Source organism: Homo sapiens, chromosome 2 (genome assembly GCF_000001405.40).
Source record: "Homo sapiens chromosome 2, GRCh38.p14 Primary Assembly".
NCBI classification, from domain to species: domain Eukaryota; kingdom Metazoa; phylum Chordata; class Mammalia; order Primates; family Hominidae; genus Homo; species Homo sapiens.
Genome location: NC_000002.12, coordinates 231,652,387 through 231,669,741, shown reverse-complemented (window position 1 = coordinate 231,669,741; position 17,355 = coordinate 231,652,387). Strand labels below are relative to the sequence as shown.

The window sequence follows — 17,355 nt, the reverse complement described above, 5'->3', positions numbered from 1 at the left end:
TGGCTAACATTCAGTATTGCTTCATCCATCATTCCGGCAGCATATCCATTGAACATCGCTACATCCCAGCTTTGTATGAGGTGGTGGGATGCAGCGGGTAGCAAACCACCCTGTAACTCTGCTTTCACAGAACACACAGAACAAGGACCACGAGGACAGACGCTGAAGGAGGAAAATTTTAATTCCTTTAAGTATAAGACAGAACACACCCGCCGGGCGTGGTGGCTCGCACCCGTAATCCCAGCACTTTGGGAGGCCAAGGCAGAAGGATCACTTGAGCCTAGGAGTTCAAGACTGGCCTGGGCAACATGGCAAAACCCTGCCTCTGCTAAAAATACAGAAATAAGTGGGGCATGGTGGCACACACCTATAGTCCCAGCTACTTTGAGGGGGAGTGGATTGAGAAGGTAGGATCGCTCAAGCCCAGGAAGTCAAGGCTGCAGTGAGCCATGATCATGCCACTGCAATCCAGCCTAGGTGACAAAGAGAGACTATCTCAAAAACAAGAAGCAAAACAAAACCATACCAAGGCAGTGAGTTCCCCGCTGCTGGAAGCAATCAAGGAAGCAGTAGAAGAGATTTCTGCTTTGGGTAGTTGGGTTGAATGAGATGACCACTAAGATCCCTTTGAACACCAAGGTTTGGCCATTTTATCAGCATCTGGATTGTGAAGTGTCTGATGCTTCTGAGTGTCCATTTCCCCATCTACCTTCTACAGATTCCTGAGACCTCCCCCAGTATGGAAAGAGAATCTTAAAACTGAAGAGTCTGTACACTGATGTATTAACCAGATTCTCTACTTCAGCTCTGGGATCCTAGTGTACCACAGAAGACTGGGTCTCGAACTGGGGGGCTTGAATCCTACCCATTCCCACTGAATCAGGATGGGGCAAGTTGGGCTGGGGCCAATGGGAGCTCTGAGGCAGGAGGTGACTTTCCCAGTGTCAGGTGGTAAGGGTAGTCGCTGGGAGGAAGGCACTTTAGAGATGCATGTCCCTTGACCAAGGGAGGAAGGCAATTTAGAGATGGATGTCCCTTGACTGAGGGACCAAGGACAGACCCCGGGGAGCCGAGCATCAAGGGGCTGTCGGAGAAAAGATGGGAGTCGCAGGGCCAGCTGGCAGCCAGGCCCAGCAGGCTCATCCCCTCAGCCCGGTGGGGGTGGTACTGGCGGTGCTGGCATGCCAAGGCCTCCTAGACCAGGGTTAACTTTCGGAGTCAGCCTCAACCTATATACTCCCTGAAATCAGACCAATTCAAGATGCACTGGAATGAGCACATTTCTTACTGGAGCCCCATTTAAAAAATATCCTGGCCAGGCACGGTGGCTCATGCCTGTAATCCCAACACTTTGGGAGGCCAAGGCAGGCAGATCACCTGAGGTCAGGAGTTCGAGACCAGCCCAGCCAACATGGTGAAACCCCATTTCTACTAAAAATACAAAAATGCCGGGCGCAGTGGCTCATCATGCCTGTAATCTCAGCACTTTGGGAGGCCGAGGCAGGCGGATCACCTGAAGTCAGGTGGTCGAGACCAGCCTGACCAACATGGAGAAACCCCATCTCTACTAAAAATACAAAATTAGCTGGGTGTGGTGGCACGTGCCTGTAATCCCAGCTACTTGGGAGGCTGAGGCAGGAGAATTGCTTGAACCTGGGAAGCGGAGGTTGCAGTGAGCCGAGATTGCACCGTTGCACTCCAGCCTGGGCAACAAGAGGGAAACTCTGTCTCAAAAAAAAAAAACAAACAACAACAAAAACAAAAATTAGCCAGGTGTGTCTCAAAAAACAAAACAAAACAAAAAAAATTCTCCAGGTATGGTGGCAGGTGCTTATAATCCCAGCTACTTGGGAAGCTGAGGCAGGACAATCGCTTGAACCCAGGAGGCAGAGGTTGCAGTGAGCCGAGATTGCTCCATTGCACTTCAGCCTGAGCGACAGAGTGAGACTCTGTCTCAAGAAAAAAAAAAAAAGCCATAAAACAACAATAAAATACATATCCCATGGGGAACACGCCCTGTCAGCCATTCAAATCTGCTTTAAAGGCTGTCACCTTGGAGAAATGACACTGGCCTGAGAAGCTAGGGCAGTTCGGGGGTCTGAGTAGACATCCCAGGGGATCAGGCCTGGGGTGTGCTAACCAGACTCTGGACAGCTGGGGTGCCCCCTGAGGTCAATGTCCTACACCCCGAGAGCAAGTGCAGGGACCATGCAGCCTTGCGTTGCTGTGGGAGGCAGCTATGCTGGGTCTGCCCAGTTTCTTTTTCTTTTCTCTTTCTTTCTTTTTTTTTTGAGATAGGGTCTTATTTTGTTGCCCAGGCTGGAGTGTAGTGGCGTGATCTCGGCTCTCTCCAGCCTTGAACTTCTAGGCTCAGGTGATTCTCCTGCCTCAGCATCCAGAGTAGCTGGGACCACAGGCGTGCACCGTCACACCTGGCTAATTTTTTTCTGTAGAGACGGGGTCTCACTGTGCTGGCCAGGTTGGTCTCAAACTCCTGGGCTCAAGCAATCTGCCCCCCTCGGCCTCCCAAAGTGCTGAGATTACAGGTGGGAGCCCTGGCGTTGTTGGCTGTTTTGCTTTCAGCGCTCACGGAGGGCTAGCACCTGCGGCAGGCTTGGGAACAGAGGGAGCCGCATTTCCAGAGACACAGCTCCTCCACTTCCCACCCCGGGCCGTCCCTCCCATGAGTCACCCTGTTATCCCCCCACAGCCAAATATAGCTCCCAAAGCCTGCCGGAAACAAAGGGAGTAGCGCCGTGCCTGGTGCTGAGTGGGGGGCGGTGCGGGAGGCGCACCCTGAGGCTAGGGGCCTGCCAGCCCACCCTTCACCCCTTCCTGTCCCGGGGCTGGGGTCTCTGCTGTACCTCTAATCTCACAGTTTCTCTTGCAAACACGGGGAATTTGGGGAAACATCCCGTACAGAAGCAGTGACCACTTCCTCCTAGGGGATTGTGGGCCACTCCAGGGGACAAAGAGCCAGGTGGGGGTCCGTTCCTCCACAAGATGAGGCCAAGATCCTGTTGGGCAGGGGCTCTGCTTCTGCGATCACCCAGGGTGTGTCCGGCCCTGGCCCTCCCCAGCAGCCTCTAGGGTGTCGCCCGGGCACTCAGAGCCACCACATAAGGAAATGTTTGTGCCTCGGGGGCTGGGCAGTGGCTCACACACGTCCTCCCTCCCTCTCTCCCCGCCCAGCCTGCCTCCCAGATGGCCTGGGCTGGGGCAGTTGGACCCAGGAGGAACCGCCCTGAGGCCAGGGGTGGGGAATCGGCCCAGCCTACAATTCACCTCAGGCCTCAGCTGAGGACAAGGCAGGGAGAGGGCCGGATGCCGGGCGTATGGGCCACACTTGGTGGTCCTCCTGCTGCGCCGCCTCAGGGGACTCCCTGCCTGGCTTTGCCTGTGCTGGCCGGAAATCATCTCCCCTTACTCCCCAGCAATGCAAGCTGCATGTGCAGCAGGAGGGAGGGTAGGACACATCGGAAACCACCGGGCTCGGCGATTGGGCTTTGAGATCTTGGAGCTACCACACCCAAGAGACTAGGAGCTGAGGGTGGCCGGGAGGAATCTACTCCCTGAAGAGCGCCCACCCACCCAGCCCAGTGTTTCCCCTGGGAGCCCAGGGCAGCCTTACTTCTCGGGGTTGTAACTAGGCCTCCTGACTACCCCCAGCCACCACTTACATGGGAAACATTTTATAACCTGCTTTCTGGCGGGCAAGGCCAGGCTCCCGTGGGCTGCCTTCCTTCTGAAGTTTTCCATTCAATTATTTACACGAGCCCACAGACCTCTGCAGGAAGTCGGCAGGCACAGGGTAGCATTTATTCTTCTGCTGTCTCATTTGTGGAGGGACCTCCCTTCTCTTGAATGTGGCTCCTTTGGAGGTCAGAGACTGAGGACGGTGGCATCATCTAGATCCCCGTTGTTTATTCTTGAGGCCAGAGCATTGCCCACCAGGTGTTTCCCAGGCACGGACCCCTTGCCCAGCGTGGCATTCAGAGGGGGCAGCTCCGGCCGCCTGCTCAGGAGTGGGGTGGGATGGGGAGCTGCCTCTGGAGCCTTGTGCTGAAGGAGAGGACCGTTGACGGAGAAGGACATCACCCAAGTCCTGGGGCCTTTGGGGAAAGTAGGAAACCTGCCTGTCCTACAGGAGAAGAGACCACCTCACCAACTTTGAAGGATGCAGGCCTTGTTTAGAGCAGATCTCAGAATTGGTGCCCTGCGGGCTCCAGGCCTTGGCCCTGCTGGTGGATGAAAGTGGCACAACCTGCCCTGAGGCCTGAGTGTCACGGGAACAACAGCTAGACGGCTAGACACTGGCCCCCTCACCCCACCTCCCAGGGTGGCACGGCTGTCCAGATATGGTGCTGAGGGAGGTCAGTGGGATAGCCCCACCATGGCCTCCCCCGCAGACTGCCCTGCACTGAGGACTGTCCCCATCCCCTTCTGAGGAGGGTCCCAACTGGTGTCCCAGAGTGCAGTCAACTCCCCGTTACTCCCAGAAGCAGGGGCTGGGGGCAATTCCCAGGCCTGGGAAAGAGGAAGGCAGTGCCTGGCAGGGCCACTCTCTTGGTGGGGAGAAGGGCCTGCCGCCATCCAATCCCCAGCTTCTCTGTTTTAATTCAAGATGCACGGGGCTGGGTGGGGAGGGTGAAGGCAGGTCCAGGTTCAGTGGAAAGAAGCTGTTTGTCTGCTTCTGGACCCTCATGTCCTGGGACTTGGGCCTGTATGTTCCTTAGAGGCAGGAACTGCTCCACAGCTCTATCTCTAGTCCAGACAGAGGCTTAACAGACCATGTGCTCAGAAAGTATCTTTTGGGTGACAGAAAAAAAGCCTTCATTTCCGTTTCAGATAAAACAGATCTGGTCTAGGCTGGGCGCGGTGGAACACGCCTGTAATCCTAGCACTTTGGGAGGCTGAAGCGGGAATATCATCTGAGGTCAGGAGTTTGAGACCAGCCTGGCCAAGAAAACCCCGTCTCTACTAAAAAGACAAAAAACTAGGCAGGCGTGGTAGCATGTGCCTGTAATCCCGAAATTGCACCTCTGCACTCCAGCCTGGGCAATAAAGCAAGACTCTCTCTCAAAACAAAAAAGTGTCTTCTGGGTGACTGAAAAAAAACCTTCATTTCAGATTAAAAAAAAAAAAATCTGGCCTAGGACGGGTGCATTGGCTAGTGCCTGTAATCCCAGCACTTTGGGAGGCTGAGGCGGGTGGTTCACTTGAGGCCAGGAGTTCGAGACCAGCCTGGCCAACATAGTGAAACCCCATTTCTACTAAAAATACAAAAATTAGCCAGGTGTGGTGATACATGCCTATAATCCCAGTTGCTCAGGAGGCTGAGGCATGAGAATCGCTTGAACCCAGGTGGTGGAGGTTGCAGTAAGCTGAGATCATATTACCTGCACTCCAGCCTGGGCAAGAGAACAAGACTCTGTCTCCAAAAAAAGGAAAAAGAAAAAAGATCTGGCCTACAGCAAAAAGGCTGTCCTGCAAAGTGTGCGAAGTGGCCCCTGCTCCCTGAGACATGTTCCAATGAGCTGGGGACAGACACATTGGGGACCTCGTGGAGAGGGATTCTCAAGGCAAACGCAGACACCTCCAGGGAGAGGTTTTCCGTGAGCATGACTGGAGAGTACCCGTAACCATAAACAGAGGACGGGCCGGGCGCGGTGGCTCACATCTGTAATCCCAAGCACTCTGGAAGGCCGAGGCGGGTGGATCACCTGAGGTCAGGAGTGCCTGAACCCAGCAGACAGAGGTTGCAGTGAGCCTACACGGTGCCAACTGCACTCCAGCCTGGGCGACAGAGACTCCGTCTCAAAAAAGAAAAAAAAAAAATCAGAGGGGACTAGGCTGCTGAGGGAGAGACAAGGAGGGCCTCACCAGGGGACCTCGGCAGTCACTCCAGCTCTGATGCTTGCCATCCCGCGTGTCTGGGACAGGTCCTCTGTGCCGTGGCGTCTCCCTCCATTTCCACCACCAGAGGTACTGTTCTTATGCAGACAACCTGCCCAGGCCTTTCATGGCAGTGCAGGGCTGGAGCCTGCAGTCCGAGTCCCTCTCCCGGAAAGAGGCCTGTGCTCCATACAGAAGCCACGAGGAGCAGTAGCCCGCGAAGGTGTCAACAGTGGGCACACGGGCTCTACCCCCAGGCCCCAGCTGCTTCTCCCCACTGCTCCCTAGGGAGGCCAGTCCATGCGAGCTCTCACTTCAGACGCCTGCCCAAGTCTTCTGCCCCCCGAGCCTCACCAACAGGTCCCTTCCCCACACACTCCTCTCCATGACCTGCCTCCTCTGCTTCCACCCACCATCCTCTCAAATGAGACTGAATGCCTCCCCAAACAGTCCTGGGCCCATTACCCTATTCCCTCTACCCCATGCCCTGGTCTCGGCTCACGGCTTCCTCCAGGCCGCTTCCCCTGTCATTGACAAGCCAAGCGCCTCCTTCACAGTGGTCTCAGGTTGTCCTAACTGCCTATTTCTAGGCGTTTCTCCCACTGGCTTCATGCTCTGCGTCACTATCACCGTGTGCGCCCAAGTGCAAAGTTGGGTCCAGGGCAGGAGCCAAAAAATCAGTGAAGAAAGAACGAAGGAAAGATTAAAAATTGCTTGGGGTGGTCGGCAGATTATGCTTTGCATGTAAACTGGGCAAGTGCAAATGAATCCAAAACAGGCCGGAAACAAGATCGTGTTCGCGGGCCACAGACAGCGGAGGCGGGGCTAGCACTCGAGGGTCCACGTACATCCCCGGGCCGCGCAAACAGCGGCTTCTGTGAACCACTACATTCCTGAATGCACGTGTCCGTGCACACCCGGACCTGTGCAAACACAAATGCGGACATTCTCGGGTCCAAGTACATCCTCGAGGTCGTGCACATACGAAAACATGGAAACCCGCGGGTTCGTGCATGCCAGAGTTTTGGTGTGCGTGCTAGGGAGTGTAAGCAAGGGTATGCGCACACTTCCGAGGTTGTGCACATACAGAAAGGCGCACGCCCCAGGGTTCTGCACACAGAAGGACGTGCACACCCCCGAGGTCAGCCGGCAGACCCTTCTTGAGGAGGTAGAGGCGCCTAATTCCCCCCATATTTGGGCAACGCTGCAAGCTCTAGGCGCCATCTTCGCTCCGCGGGCAGCGGAAGGACCTGCAGACAGCGAAGCCCTGGCGCTTGGGCATTTGTTGTGCCGGCTTCCGGGCGTCCATCACGCGGAAGCCGCGCCCCAGACGCGGGAGACGCGGCGGAGCACGAAATGGCGGGCGAGGGGCGGAGCGAAGGCGGCCCGGGGCGGAGCGGCCGAGAGCCTCGCCCACTCTTGACTCCAGGCTTGGCGCACCGCCTGAACCCTTGCGCAGGCGCACAGCACGGCGCGCGTTCCCGCGTTCCTTCCGACGCGCGCTAGAACACAAAGGGCTGGAGGGAAAGCACGGAGCGCTGCAAACTTGCGGAGCGGCTCGTGGTGTGGAGCGGCCTGGAGCGGACTCTCAAGGGCCGGAGCCGGGCTCGCCGGCACTGCGCTCGGGCGCAGGGTGGGGCGCGACACGGCACTGGTTCCCTTGCCCTCTCTCTCCGGCCGTGGCCGCCTCGCGGGCCGGGGTGGGCGCCCAGGGCGCAGGCGCCGGTGCGCGGGTGGGACCAGGAGCCTCCATTTTCCCTCGCACGCGCTAATGGCGCAGCTGGGCCCTCTTCCTCTGGCGGGGGTGAAAATTCCCCTCCGGGGAAGCCCGAGGCGCTCGCTCCCCAAACTCTTTCGTCGGTGCGCGTGCTTAAAGCGGGCGGATGAAGCGTTCTTGAAAGTGCCTACACCTTTTGAGATGTGATTCTGAGTTGTTCATAGAAAAAGAAAAGACATACCCTTCCGCAAATTCATCCCCATAGTTTGCAACTTTCTACTTCAAATTGGGGTTATGGATTTGGGGGAGGCAAAAATAAGTTTAAAAATTTCCATTAAAGAGATGTTCCTGTAAAACAATGATCAAGAAAATGTTTAAAAGCAAACCTTAGCCATAAAACTAATACAAGTTCTTGGTAGAAGTTTGTTTTTGAGACGGAGTTTCGCTGTCGTTGCCCAGGCTGGAGTTCAGTGGCGCGATCTCAGCTCACTGCAACTTCCGCCTCCCGCTTTCAAGCAATTCTGCGTCAGTCTCCCTATGAGCTGGGACTACAGGCGCCCACCACCACGCCCAGTTAATTTTTGTATTTTTAGTAGAGAAGGGGTTTCACCATGTTGGCCAGGATGGTCTCGATATATTGACCTCGTGATCTGCCCGCCTCAGCCTCCAAAAGTGCTGAGATTACAGGTGTGAGCCACCGCGCCCGGCCAGTAGAAATTTTTGAAAGAAAGAATGGTAGTGTTCACCTTCCGTTTGCAGTATGCCAGGCCCTGTTTTAAGTGCATTAACTTTCATAACCAGGTCCACGTGGAAGAACTGACACACAGAGATAAGTACAGAAGTACTTAAAGGACGCGAAAGGACGAATAGTCTTTTCCACCTTCCAGTACAGCCACTGTCTGATTCAGTGGCATGGTTCCTGCCAGCGCTCTTCCGTGCATTAGGAAGTTTGGTTCATGGTTTACATACATACTGGAGCAGTTTTTGCTTCTCTGGCAGAGCTGTGGTTGGGCAAATAGAAAAAAACTCAGCAGGCTCAGAGGAGCCGGTCAACTGCCAGTTTCTCACGGTCTCTGGGGAGAGCTAGGTCCCGGCCAGTTGAGAGACCACGTTCAAAGGTTAGAATGTTAGTTATCTGGTGACTTGGGATCCAGAATGCACATAACTCTTGTGATCAGGTCATGGGGTTGGAAGGAAAAGTATCCGTATTCCTCCCTCCCTTTATTTTTTCCTACAGGGTCTCAGTAGTCAGTAGCACATTCGCAGGTCACAATTACCTTTCAAGTTTCCGCAGCTCATTTGAGGATTATGAGGAACGGCATTTTTGCAGGTCAGAATGGGGTCAAAGTAGAAGGCAGAGGGCAGGGATCATTCGTCATTGATACCTGAAGCAGCTGAGATTTTAAGGTTATTAGCCTTGCCCAAATTCATAAACTAATAGCGGAGCAGAGATCCTTCATCCAAGTTGAGGTGTCTGACTTGCAACCTCAGTTTCCAAGTCCTTAAGGTCTATATGATCTTTTAATTGTGTCCATCCTTATTTCTCTTTTTAAAACTTTAACAAGGTGGCCGGGTGCAGTGGCTCACGACTGTTATCCCAATACTTTGGGAGACCGAGATGGGTGGATCACTTGAGGTCAAGAGTTCGAGACCACTCTGGCCAACATGGTGAAACCCCATCTCTACTAAAAAAATACAAAAAATTAGTGGGCATGGTGGTGCGCCGCCTGTAATCCCAGCTACTCTCAGGAGAGGCTGAGGCAGGAGAATGGCTTGAACGTGGGAGGCGGAGGTTGCAGTGAGCCAAGATCGCACCACTGCATTCCAGTCTGGGCGACAGAGTGAGACTCCATCTCAACAAACAAACAAAAAACTTTAACAAGGCAGAGTGGTATGTTGGCTCTATGCCTGTAATCCCAGTACTTTGGGAGGCCAAGGCAGGTGGATCACTTGAGGCCAGGAGTTCAGACCAGCCTGGAAAACATGACAAAACCCCATCTCTACTAAAAATACAAAAATTTGCCTGGTGTGGTGGCGTGTGCCTGTAATCCCAGCTACTCAGGAGGCTGAGGCAGGAGAATCACTTGAATCTGGAGATTGCACCAGTGCACCCCATCCTGGGTAACAGAGTGAGACCTTGTCTCAAAAACAAAAAAACAAAAAAACTTTAACAAGGTGGGGACTCCAACACTCAGCAATACTGATAAGTGGTAGGTCCTTGTCTTGCTTGGTGAGAGACTCAATCTTAACAGGTCCCTGACTCCTATTAATAAGACTTCATGAGGCCGGGCGCAGTGGCTCACACCCAGCACTTTGGGAGGCTGAGGTGGGTGGATCACCTGAGATCAGAAGTTTGAGACCAGCCTGGCCAACACAGTGAAACCCCGTCTCCACCAAAAATACAAAAAATTAGCTAGGCGTGGTGGCGGGCGCCTATAATCCCAGTACTCGGGAGGCTGAGGCAGGAGAATTGCTTGAACCCAGGAGGCGGAGGTTGCAGTGAGCTGAGATCCCACCATTGCACTCCAGGCTGGCGATAGAGCGAGACTCCGTCTCAAAAAAAAAAAAAAGAAAAAGAAAAATGTATAATTCAGCCGTTTTCACTGTATTTATAAAGCTGAAAAACCATCATCACTAATTCCAGAACATTTTCATTACCCCAAAGCAAAACCCGTATTCATTAGTAGTCACTCTTCATCTGCCCGCCTCCCTCCCAGCTCTTGGCAACCACTAATCTCCTTTTGTCTCTATGGAGTTTTCTATTCTGGACATTTCATATACATGGAATCATTCAATATGTGGTCTTTGTGTCTGGCGTCTTTCACTTAGCGTAATTTTTAAAGTTCATCCATGTTGTAGCATGTATCATTCCTTTTTATAGCTGACTAATATTCCACTGTATGGATATGCTTCAAAAGACTCTAGAGAGGAGGTATTTCTATGTGTGATGTGAATGAGTGATTTGGTGTCTGGCCTTGGTGTGAGAAGCAGTGTGCTCTGTATGGCATTGGAGTTGGACTGCCTAAGCTCTCCCCCTTGCTGGCTGTGTGACCTGAGCAAATCACTTTCGTTTCTTTTCTTTTTTTTTTTTTTTGAGATGGAGTCTCGCTCTGTTGCCCAGGCTGAAGTGCAGTGGTGCAATCTCAGCTCACTGCAAGCTCTGCCTCCCCAGTTCACACCATTCTCCTGCCTCAGCCTCCCAAGTAGCTGGGACTACAGGCGCTCTCCACCACGCCTGGCTAATTTTTGTATTTTTTAGTAGAGATGGAGTTTCACTTTGTTAGCCAGGATAGTCTCAATCTCCTGACCTGGTGATCTGCCTGCCTCGGCCTCCCAAAGAGCTGGGATAAAAGTGGAGTGTAGTGGCTCACTGCAGCATCAACCTCCCGGGCTCAAGTGATCTTCTGAGTAGCTGGGACTACGCACCACCATGCCCGGTGAGTTTTTTTATTTTTTGTAGATACTGGTTTTCACCATGTTGCCCAAGCTGGTCTTGAACTCCTGAGCTCAAGTGATCTGCCCGCCCCGTCCTCCCAAAGTGCTGGGATTACAGGCGTGAGCCACTGTGCCTGGCACATTTTAAAAATGTATGTAAATTTTCAACATACAAAAAAGTAGAAGAGTATGATTCCCCATGTACCTTCAGCATTTATTCCCTCTTTTTTTTTTTTTGAGACGGAGTCTCTGTCCCCCAGGCTGGAGTGCAATGGTGTGATCCCGGCTCACTGCAACCTCCGCCTCCCAGGTTCAAGCGATTCTCCTGCCTCAGCCTCCTGAGTAGCTGGGATTGTAGGTGCCTGCCACCATGCCAGGCTAATTTTTGGATTTTTAGTAGAGACGGGATTTCACTATGTTGGCCAGGCTGGTCTCAAACTCCTGACCTCACGTGATCTGCCCGCCTCGGCCTCCCAAAGTGCTGGGATTACTGGTGTGAGCCACCGCGCCCAGCCTTTATTCCCATTTTTCAATTCTTGACAGACGGCTTTTGTCCCACAGCCATATAGGGGAGGCACACCCAATAGGTAGAAACCATCTTGCAAGGACCTGGGGAAACTGGTTTTGTGGGCAGGTTGAGAAATGTGGGCTTGACGAGGCAGCAGAGGCACTCACTGAGGGCTCTTTGCCCCTTTCTTCCACTGAGATCACATACTCTGGGGACTTTGCACCTGTAGCATGATGATGTCCCCAGACCCTGCCCATCTTGCCTGTAGTGACAGCAGTATCCATCAGGAGCAAGCCAAGGGGTGGGCCAGCCCATACTACAGCACCAGGTGCTGTCTGGTAACCACTTTTTATTATTTATTTATTTTATATACAAGGTCTTGCTCTGTCCCCCAGGCTGGAGCACAGTGGTCCAATCACAGGACTCCTGGGCTCAAGCGATCCTCCGGCCTCAGACTCCTGAGTAGCTAGGACTACAGGTGTGTGCTATCATGCCTGGCTAGTTTAGTTTAGTTTTGTTTTTTTGATAGAGGCAGGGTCTCAGTACGTTGCCCAGGCTGGTCTCAAACTTCTGGGCTCAAGCAGTGTTCCTGCCTTGGCTTCCCAAAGTGTTGAGAGCCACCACGCCCGGCTAACCTTTTTTATTTTTAATACTTTTTTAAAGAGCAATGATAGTACATGCTAAACAGATTTTTTGTTTGTTTGTTTGAGACAGAGTCTGGCTCTGTCACCCAGGCTGGAGTGCGGTGGCACAATCTCAGCTCACTGCAACCTCTGCCTCCCGGGTTCAAGCGATTCTTCTGCCTCAGCCTTCCCTAGTAGCAGGGATTACAGGTGTGCGCCATGCCCGGCTAATTTTTGCCTTTTTTTTTTTTTTTTTTTTTGAGTTGGAATCTTGCTCTGTCCCCAGGCTGGAGTGCAGTGGTGCGATCTCGGCTCACTGCAACCTCCGCCTCCCGGGTTCAAGCAATTCTTCTGCCTCAGTCTCCCGAGTAGCTGGGACTACAGGCGCGTGTCACCACGCCCAGCTAATTTTTGTATTATTAGTAGAGATGGGGTTTCACCATATTGGTCAGGCTGGTCTTGAACTCCTGACCTCGTGATCCGCCCACCTTGGCCTCCCAAAGTGCTGGGATTACAGATGTGAGCCACCGCGTCCGGCCAATTTTTGTATTTTTACTAGAGATGTGGTTTCACCATGTTGGCCAGGCTTGTCTCAAACTCCTGGCCTCAAGTGATCTGCCCACCTCAACCTCTCAAAGTGCTGGGATTATGGGTGTGAGCCACCGCACCCGGCCCATTTTTTTTTCTTTGAGAAATGTTGGCACCTATATAGGAGTAAAATGAAAGCTAAGCCGTCAATTCTGTGTGTGTAATTCATTCATTCTCACAGCCACTCCATAAGGCATTATTATTATCCTTGTTTTAGAGAGGAGAAAACTGAGGTACAGAGAGGTTAAGAAGTTTGTCCGCTGGGCACGGTGGCTCACGCCTGTAATCCCAGCACTTTGGGAGACTGAGGCTGGCCGATCACGTGGTCAGGAGTTCGAGACCAGCCTGGCCAACATGGTGAAACCCCGTCTCTACTAAAGATACAAAAAATTAGCTGGGGGTGGTGGCGGGCGCTTGTAATCCCAGCTACTTGGGAGGCTGGGGCAGGAGAATCGCTTGAACCCAGGAGGCGGAGGTTGCAGTGAGCCGAGTTCACCAATGCACTCCAGCTTGGGTGACAGGAGGAGACTCCGTCTCACAAAAAATAAAAAAAAATAAAAAAGAAGCTTGCCCAAGGTCACCCAGCTAGTGATCAGCTAAACTGGGGTTTGAACCTTGGTTCTTAAATCCATGCTCAGAACCCGACACAAGGGTCATGGAGATTTGTAAATGCTGTGAGGTACCCTACCTGCGTCTCCTTTCCAGAGTAGGCTTTTTTACCTCTGGGCTCCCATGTCCTCCAGGCGGGGCGGTTCCCCATGCACCTGCCTGCTCCATCCTCCCCACTCCTGTCTTGCTGTGCTGGAAACTCAACTCCACCCCTTTCTATCTTAGTGGCCTTAGTTAACATTTCCTAAACTCACTTCCTTGGGTTCGTGGGAGGATTAAGTGAGGCACACAAGTGCCCTTAACTGTTAGCCAGGGATATTGTTATCATGCATATGGTTTTCATTTCCGAGGGAAGTTTGCAGGGGGAGGGTGCACGCTAATTGATGCAGAGACATCAGGTGATTAGGAGAGATATGTTAAATTCCAACTCAGCCTTGAATAAGAAAAGACACAATCTTGGACCTTGCAAATCTCAGGGACTCCTAGACCTTTATGAAAGCTGAGAGCTCTCGTTCTGGATCATTCCAGTGGACAGCAGCATCCTGCCAGCCATGTGCAGAGACGCAGTGGGCAGCAGCATCCTGCCAGCTATGTGCAGAGACGCCCAGGCAGGGGATTGCTGTAGGCCAGCCCACAAGTGCTAGCCTTGGGGCTACAGAGCCCCGTGCCATCATGGTGGCCCACAAATGCTGCCCACTTGCCCAAGAGCAGCCTCCTGGAGGCAGGAGCTGTCCAGCTGCCTCTGCCCCTCACCGCTCCTGCCCCAGGGCTCTGTCTGAAGCCCTTGCTCTGTAACAGCTGCCTGGTTTCACGAATATTCTCCGTTTCCTTTCAGATGGATGCAAATGCATGGGATAGGCCCCTGACACGTGAGACCTTGAAACCCAGAAGCCCAGAATACTAGGGCCAGCTTTCTGGTTAAGTCTGCGTTGGACATTTTAGACTTTCTAGAGTTTAGGTAGGGTGGCCATAGTATTTATTGTTTGAACTAATGCTTCTCGTTGTTTGCTAATGTATTTTCTTGGGCAAATTTTTTCTTTTTTTTTCTTTTCAGACAGAGTTTCGCTCGTCGCCCCGGCTGGAGTGCAGTGGCCCTATCTCCGCTCACTGCAACCTCCACCTCCCGGATTCAAGTGATTCTCCTGCCTCAGCCTCCCAAGTAGCTGGGATTACAGGCAAGCGCCACCACGCACAGCTAATTTTTTGTATTTTTAGTAGGGGCGGGGTTTCACCATGTTGGCCAGGCTGGTCTCAAAATCCTGACCTCAGGTGATCCACCCTCCTCAGCCTCCCAAAGTGCTGGGATTACAGGTGTGAGCCACCGCGCCTGGCGAATCTGTGTGTATTTTCTTTTTCTTTTATTTTTTTTTGAGACGGAGTCTTGCTCTGTCGCCCAGGCTGGAGTATAGTGGCGCAATCTAGGCTCACTGCAACCTCTGACTCCCAGGTTCAAGCAATTCTCCTGCCTCAGCCTCCTGAGTAGCTGTGATTACAGGCACGTGCCACCACGCCCAGCTAATTTTTATACAGAGACAGGGTTTCACAATGTTGGTCAGGCTAGTCTCGAACTCCTGACCTCGTGATCCGCCAGCCTCGGCCTCCTAAAGTGCTGGGATTACAGGCATGAACCACTGCGCCCGGCTGATCTGTGTGTATTTTCTAAGAATAAGGAAACTGCCTTGTATAACCACATTAAAAAAAAAAAATCAACTTTGGACGGGCACAGTGGCTCACGCTTATAATCCTAGCACTTTGGGAGGCTGAGGCGGGTGGATCACTTGAGGTCAGGAGTTCTAAACCAGCCTGGCCAATATGGTGAAACCCCATCTCTACTAAAAATACAAATTAGCTGGGCTAATTAAATAAAACATTAGCTGGTCGTGCTGGTGGATGCCTGTAACCCCAGCTACTCGGGAGGCTGAGGCAGGAGAATCACTTGAACCAGGGAGGCAGAGGTTGCAGTGAGCCGAGATCACGCCATTGCACTCCAGCCTGGGCGACAAGAGTGAGTCTCCATCTTGAAAAAAAAAATCAACTTCAATGTATTTAACTTTGATAAGAGTTGTATCTGCTCCACTGTTTATATTCCAGTTTTTTTCTTTTTTTTTTTGAGACGGAGTCTTGCTCTGTTGCCCAGGCTGGAGTGCAGTGGCGTGATAGCTCACTGCAACCTCCGCCTCCCAGGTTCAAGCGATCCTCCTGCCTCAGCCCCCCTAGTAGCTGGGATTACAGGCATATGCCACCACGCCCAACTACTTTTATGTATTTTTAGTAGAGATGGGGTTTTGCCATATTGGCCATGCTAGTCTCAAACTCCTGACCTCAGGTGATCCACCTGCTTCGGCCTCCCAAAGTGTTGGAATTACAGGCGTGAGCCACCACGCCTGGCCTATATTCCAGTTTTATCAATTGACCCAAATATGTCCTTAATAGCACTTTTTTTTTTCCTCCAGGGCAGCATTCAGTCTAGGGCCAGAGATTGCATTAAGTTGTTCAAACCAGGACTTCTGAGGGAAAAGATGGCACAACTAATAATTATGCTGAAAAGGGACAGAGAAAACCACTGTGGTGAAAGGTTGAGAATTGTAGAATCTGGGCGAGGAGGTAATGGGAGTATATTTTACTTTTTTTTTTTTTTTTTTGAGACAGAGTCCTGCTCTGTCACCGAGGCCGGAGTACAGTGGCACTATCTCGGCTCACTGCAACCTCTGCCTCTAGGGTTCAAGGATTCTCCTGCCTCAGCCTCCCAAGTAGCTGGGACTACAGGCTCCCACCACCATGCCCAGGTAATTTTTGTATTTTTAGTAGAGATGGGGTTTCACCATATTGCCAGGCTGGTCTCAAACTCCTGACCTTGTGATCTGCCCACCTCAGCCTCCCAAAGTGCTGGGATTACAGGTGTGAGCCACAGCGCCTGGCCTATTTTTTTATACTTTCATGTATTTTTTTAAATTTTTGGTAGGGTGCAGTGGCTCACGCCTGTAATCCCAGCATTTTGGGAGGCCAAGGCAGGTGGATCACTTGAGTCCAGGAGTTTGAGACCAGTCTGGCCAACATGACAAAATCCCATCTCCACTAAAAATACAAAAGTTAGCTGGGCCTGGTGGCACGCACCTGTAATCCTACCTACTCGGGAGGCTGAGGCAGGAGAATTGCTTGAACCCAGGAGGCAGAGGTTGCAGTGAGCCAAGATCGCACCACTGCACTTCAGCCTAGGCAACAGAGCGAGACTCTGTCTCAAAAAAAAAAAGAAAAAATTGTAACACAAAGTGGAAAAACAAACCAAATACACAAACAGGAAAAAAGGTGCCCTGACCTCAGACATAAGATGGAATTGTCTAGGCAACACAGAGCTCCTGGCTATTTTTTGGTTTAGACTCAAGGCTCCTGCAAAGGTGGAACAGGGCAGAGGGGACGCACTTCACCCCATTTCCTTGTTGCTGGCCCGTTGTCAAGGTGACGTGAACCACCCTCTGGAGGGTGGAAGAGGGGCCCTGGGGTACCTTCTGGTTTCCAGAGAATCACGGGCTCCTCTGAAGTGAAAGGAGCTGGGGTGCCTGGGAGAGAGCTGGGGACGTGAGAAGAGGGGAGCCCTGACAGTCCTCCCAGCCAGACCAGCCATGCACTGCTGTTGTCACTGGAGGGCCTGGAGGCGACAGGCGGAGCATCTATCCATGCACACTCCAGGCCAGCTTCCAGCCAGGGCAGAGTGTCCCTGGTGGCAGCTCCACCGTGCCCAGGCTGTCCTCCTATCCCTGGCCCCCACTCTGCCTTCCAGGTCTCCCACAGTAACTTTTTTTTTTTTTGAGACGGAGTTTCACTCTTGTTGCCCAGGCTGGAGTGCAATGGTGCGGTTTCAGCTCACTGCAACCTCCGCCTCCTGGGTTCAAGCGATTCTCCTGCCTCAGCCTCCCAAGTAGCTGGGATTACGGGCACCCGCCACCACGCCAGCTAATTTTTGTATTTTTAGTACAGAAGGA

General features: G+C 52.4%; 11 annotated features.

Moving 5' to 3' along the window:
• Positions 1 to 7,424: part of a biological region, named in NCBI's record as "RN7SL499P-PTMA intergenic region enhancers", that runs on past the window's edge.
• Positions 612 to 1,148: an enhancer, noted in NCBI's record as "H3K4me1 hESC enhancer chr2:232533305-232533841 (GRCh37/hg19 assembly coordinates)". NCBI's record gives its function as "activates a minimal SCP1, AML or CMV promoter by ChIP-STARR-seq in naive H9 embryonic stem cells {active_cell/tissue: H9 hESC(naive)}" and the evidence as "EXISTENCE:reporter gene assay evidence [ECO:0000049][PMID:30033119]".
• Positions 2,344 to 7,197: an enhancer, noted in NCBI's record as "VISTA enhancer hs1886". NCBI's record gives its function as "enhancer in: heart[5/8]" and the evidence as "EXISTENCE:transgenic organism evidence [ECO:0001131][PMID:17130149]".
• Positions 2,550 to 2,844: an enhancer, noted in NCBI's record as "tiled region #815; K562 Activating DNase unmatched - State 1:Tss". NCBI's record gives its function as "activates a minimal TATA promoter and a strong SV40 promoter by Sharpr-MPRA in K562 cells {active_cell/tissue: K562}" and the evidence as "EXISTENCE:reporter gene assay evidence [ECO:0000049][PMID:27701403]".
• Positions 2,606 to 2,665: a silencer, noted in NCBI's record as "silent region_12436". NCBI's record gives its function as "represses an Ori minimal core promoter by ATAC-STARR-seq in GM12878 lymphoblastoid cells {active_cell/tissue: GM12878}" and the evidence as "EXISTENCE:reporter gene assay evidence [ECO:0000049][PMID:35858748]".
• Positions 2,644 to 3,851: an enhancer, noted in NCBI's record as "amplified fragment containing the chr2:232530602-232531809 (GRCh37) CAGE-defined region". NCBI's record gives its function as "transcribed enhancer that activates a basal EF1alpha promoter by reporter assays in THP-1 monocytes {active_cell/tissue: THP-1}" and the evidence as "EXISTENCE:reporter gene assay evidence [ECO:0000049][PMID:24670763]".
• Positions 2,761 to 3,296: an enhancer, noted in NCBI's record as "H3K27ac-H3K4me1 hESC enhancer chr2:232531157-232531692 (GRCh37/hg19 assembly coordinates)". NCBI's record gives its function as "activates a minimal SCP1, AML or CMV promoter by ChIP-STARR-seq in primed H9 embryonic stem cells {active_cell/tissue: H9 hESC(primed)}" and the evidence as "EXISTENCE:reporter gene assay evidence [ECO:0000049][PMID:30033119]".
• Positions 2,896 to 3,115: an enhancer, noted in NCBI's record as "active region_17302". NCBI's record gives its function as "activates an Ori minimal core promoter by ATAC-STARR-seq in GM12878 lymphoblastoid cells {active_cell/tissue: GM12878}" and the evidence as "EXISTENCE:reporter gene assay evidence [ECO:0000049][PMID:35858748]".
• Positions 3,446 to 3,505: an enhancer, noted in NCBI's record as "active region_17301". NCBI's record gives its function as "activates an Ori minimal core promoter by ATAC-STARR-seq in GM12878 lymphoblastoid cells {active_cell/tissue: GM12878}" and the evidence as "EXISTENCE:reporter gene assay evidence [ECO:0000049][PMID:35858748]".
• Positions 7,130 to 7,424: an enhancer, noted in NCBI's record as "tiled region #12409; HepG2 Activating non-DNase unmatched - State 10:DNaseD, and K562 Activating DNase matched - State 5:Enh". NCBI's record gives its function as "activates a minimal TATA promoter and a strong SV40 promoter by Sharpr-MPRA in HepG2 and K562 cells {active_cell/tissue: HepG2 | K562}" and the evidence as "EXISTENCE:reporter gene assay evidence [ECO:0000049][PMID:27701403]".
• Positions 7,538 to 7,737: a silencer, noted in NCBI's record as "silent region_12435". NCBI's record gives its function as "represses an Ori minimal core promoter by ATAC-STARR-seq in GM12878 lymphoblastoid cells {active_cell/tissue: GM12878}" and the evidence as "EXISTENCE:reporter gene assay evidence [ECO:0000049][PMID:35858748]".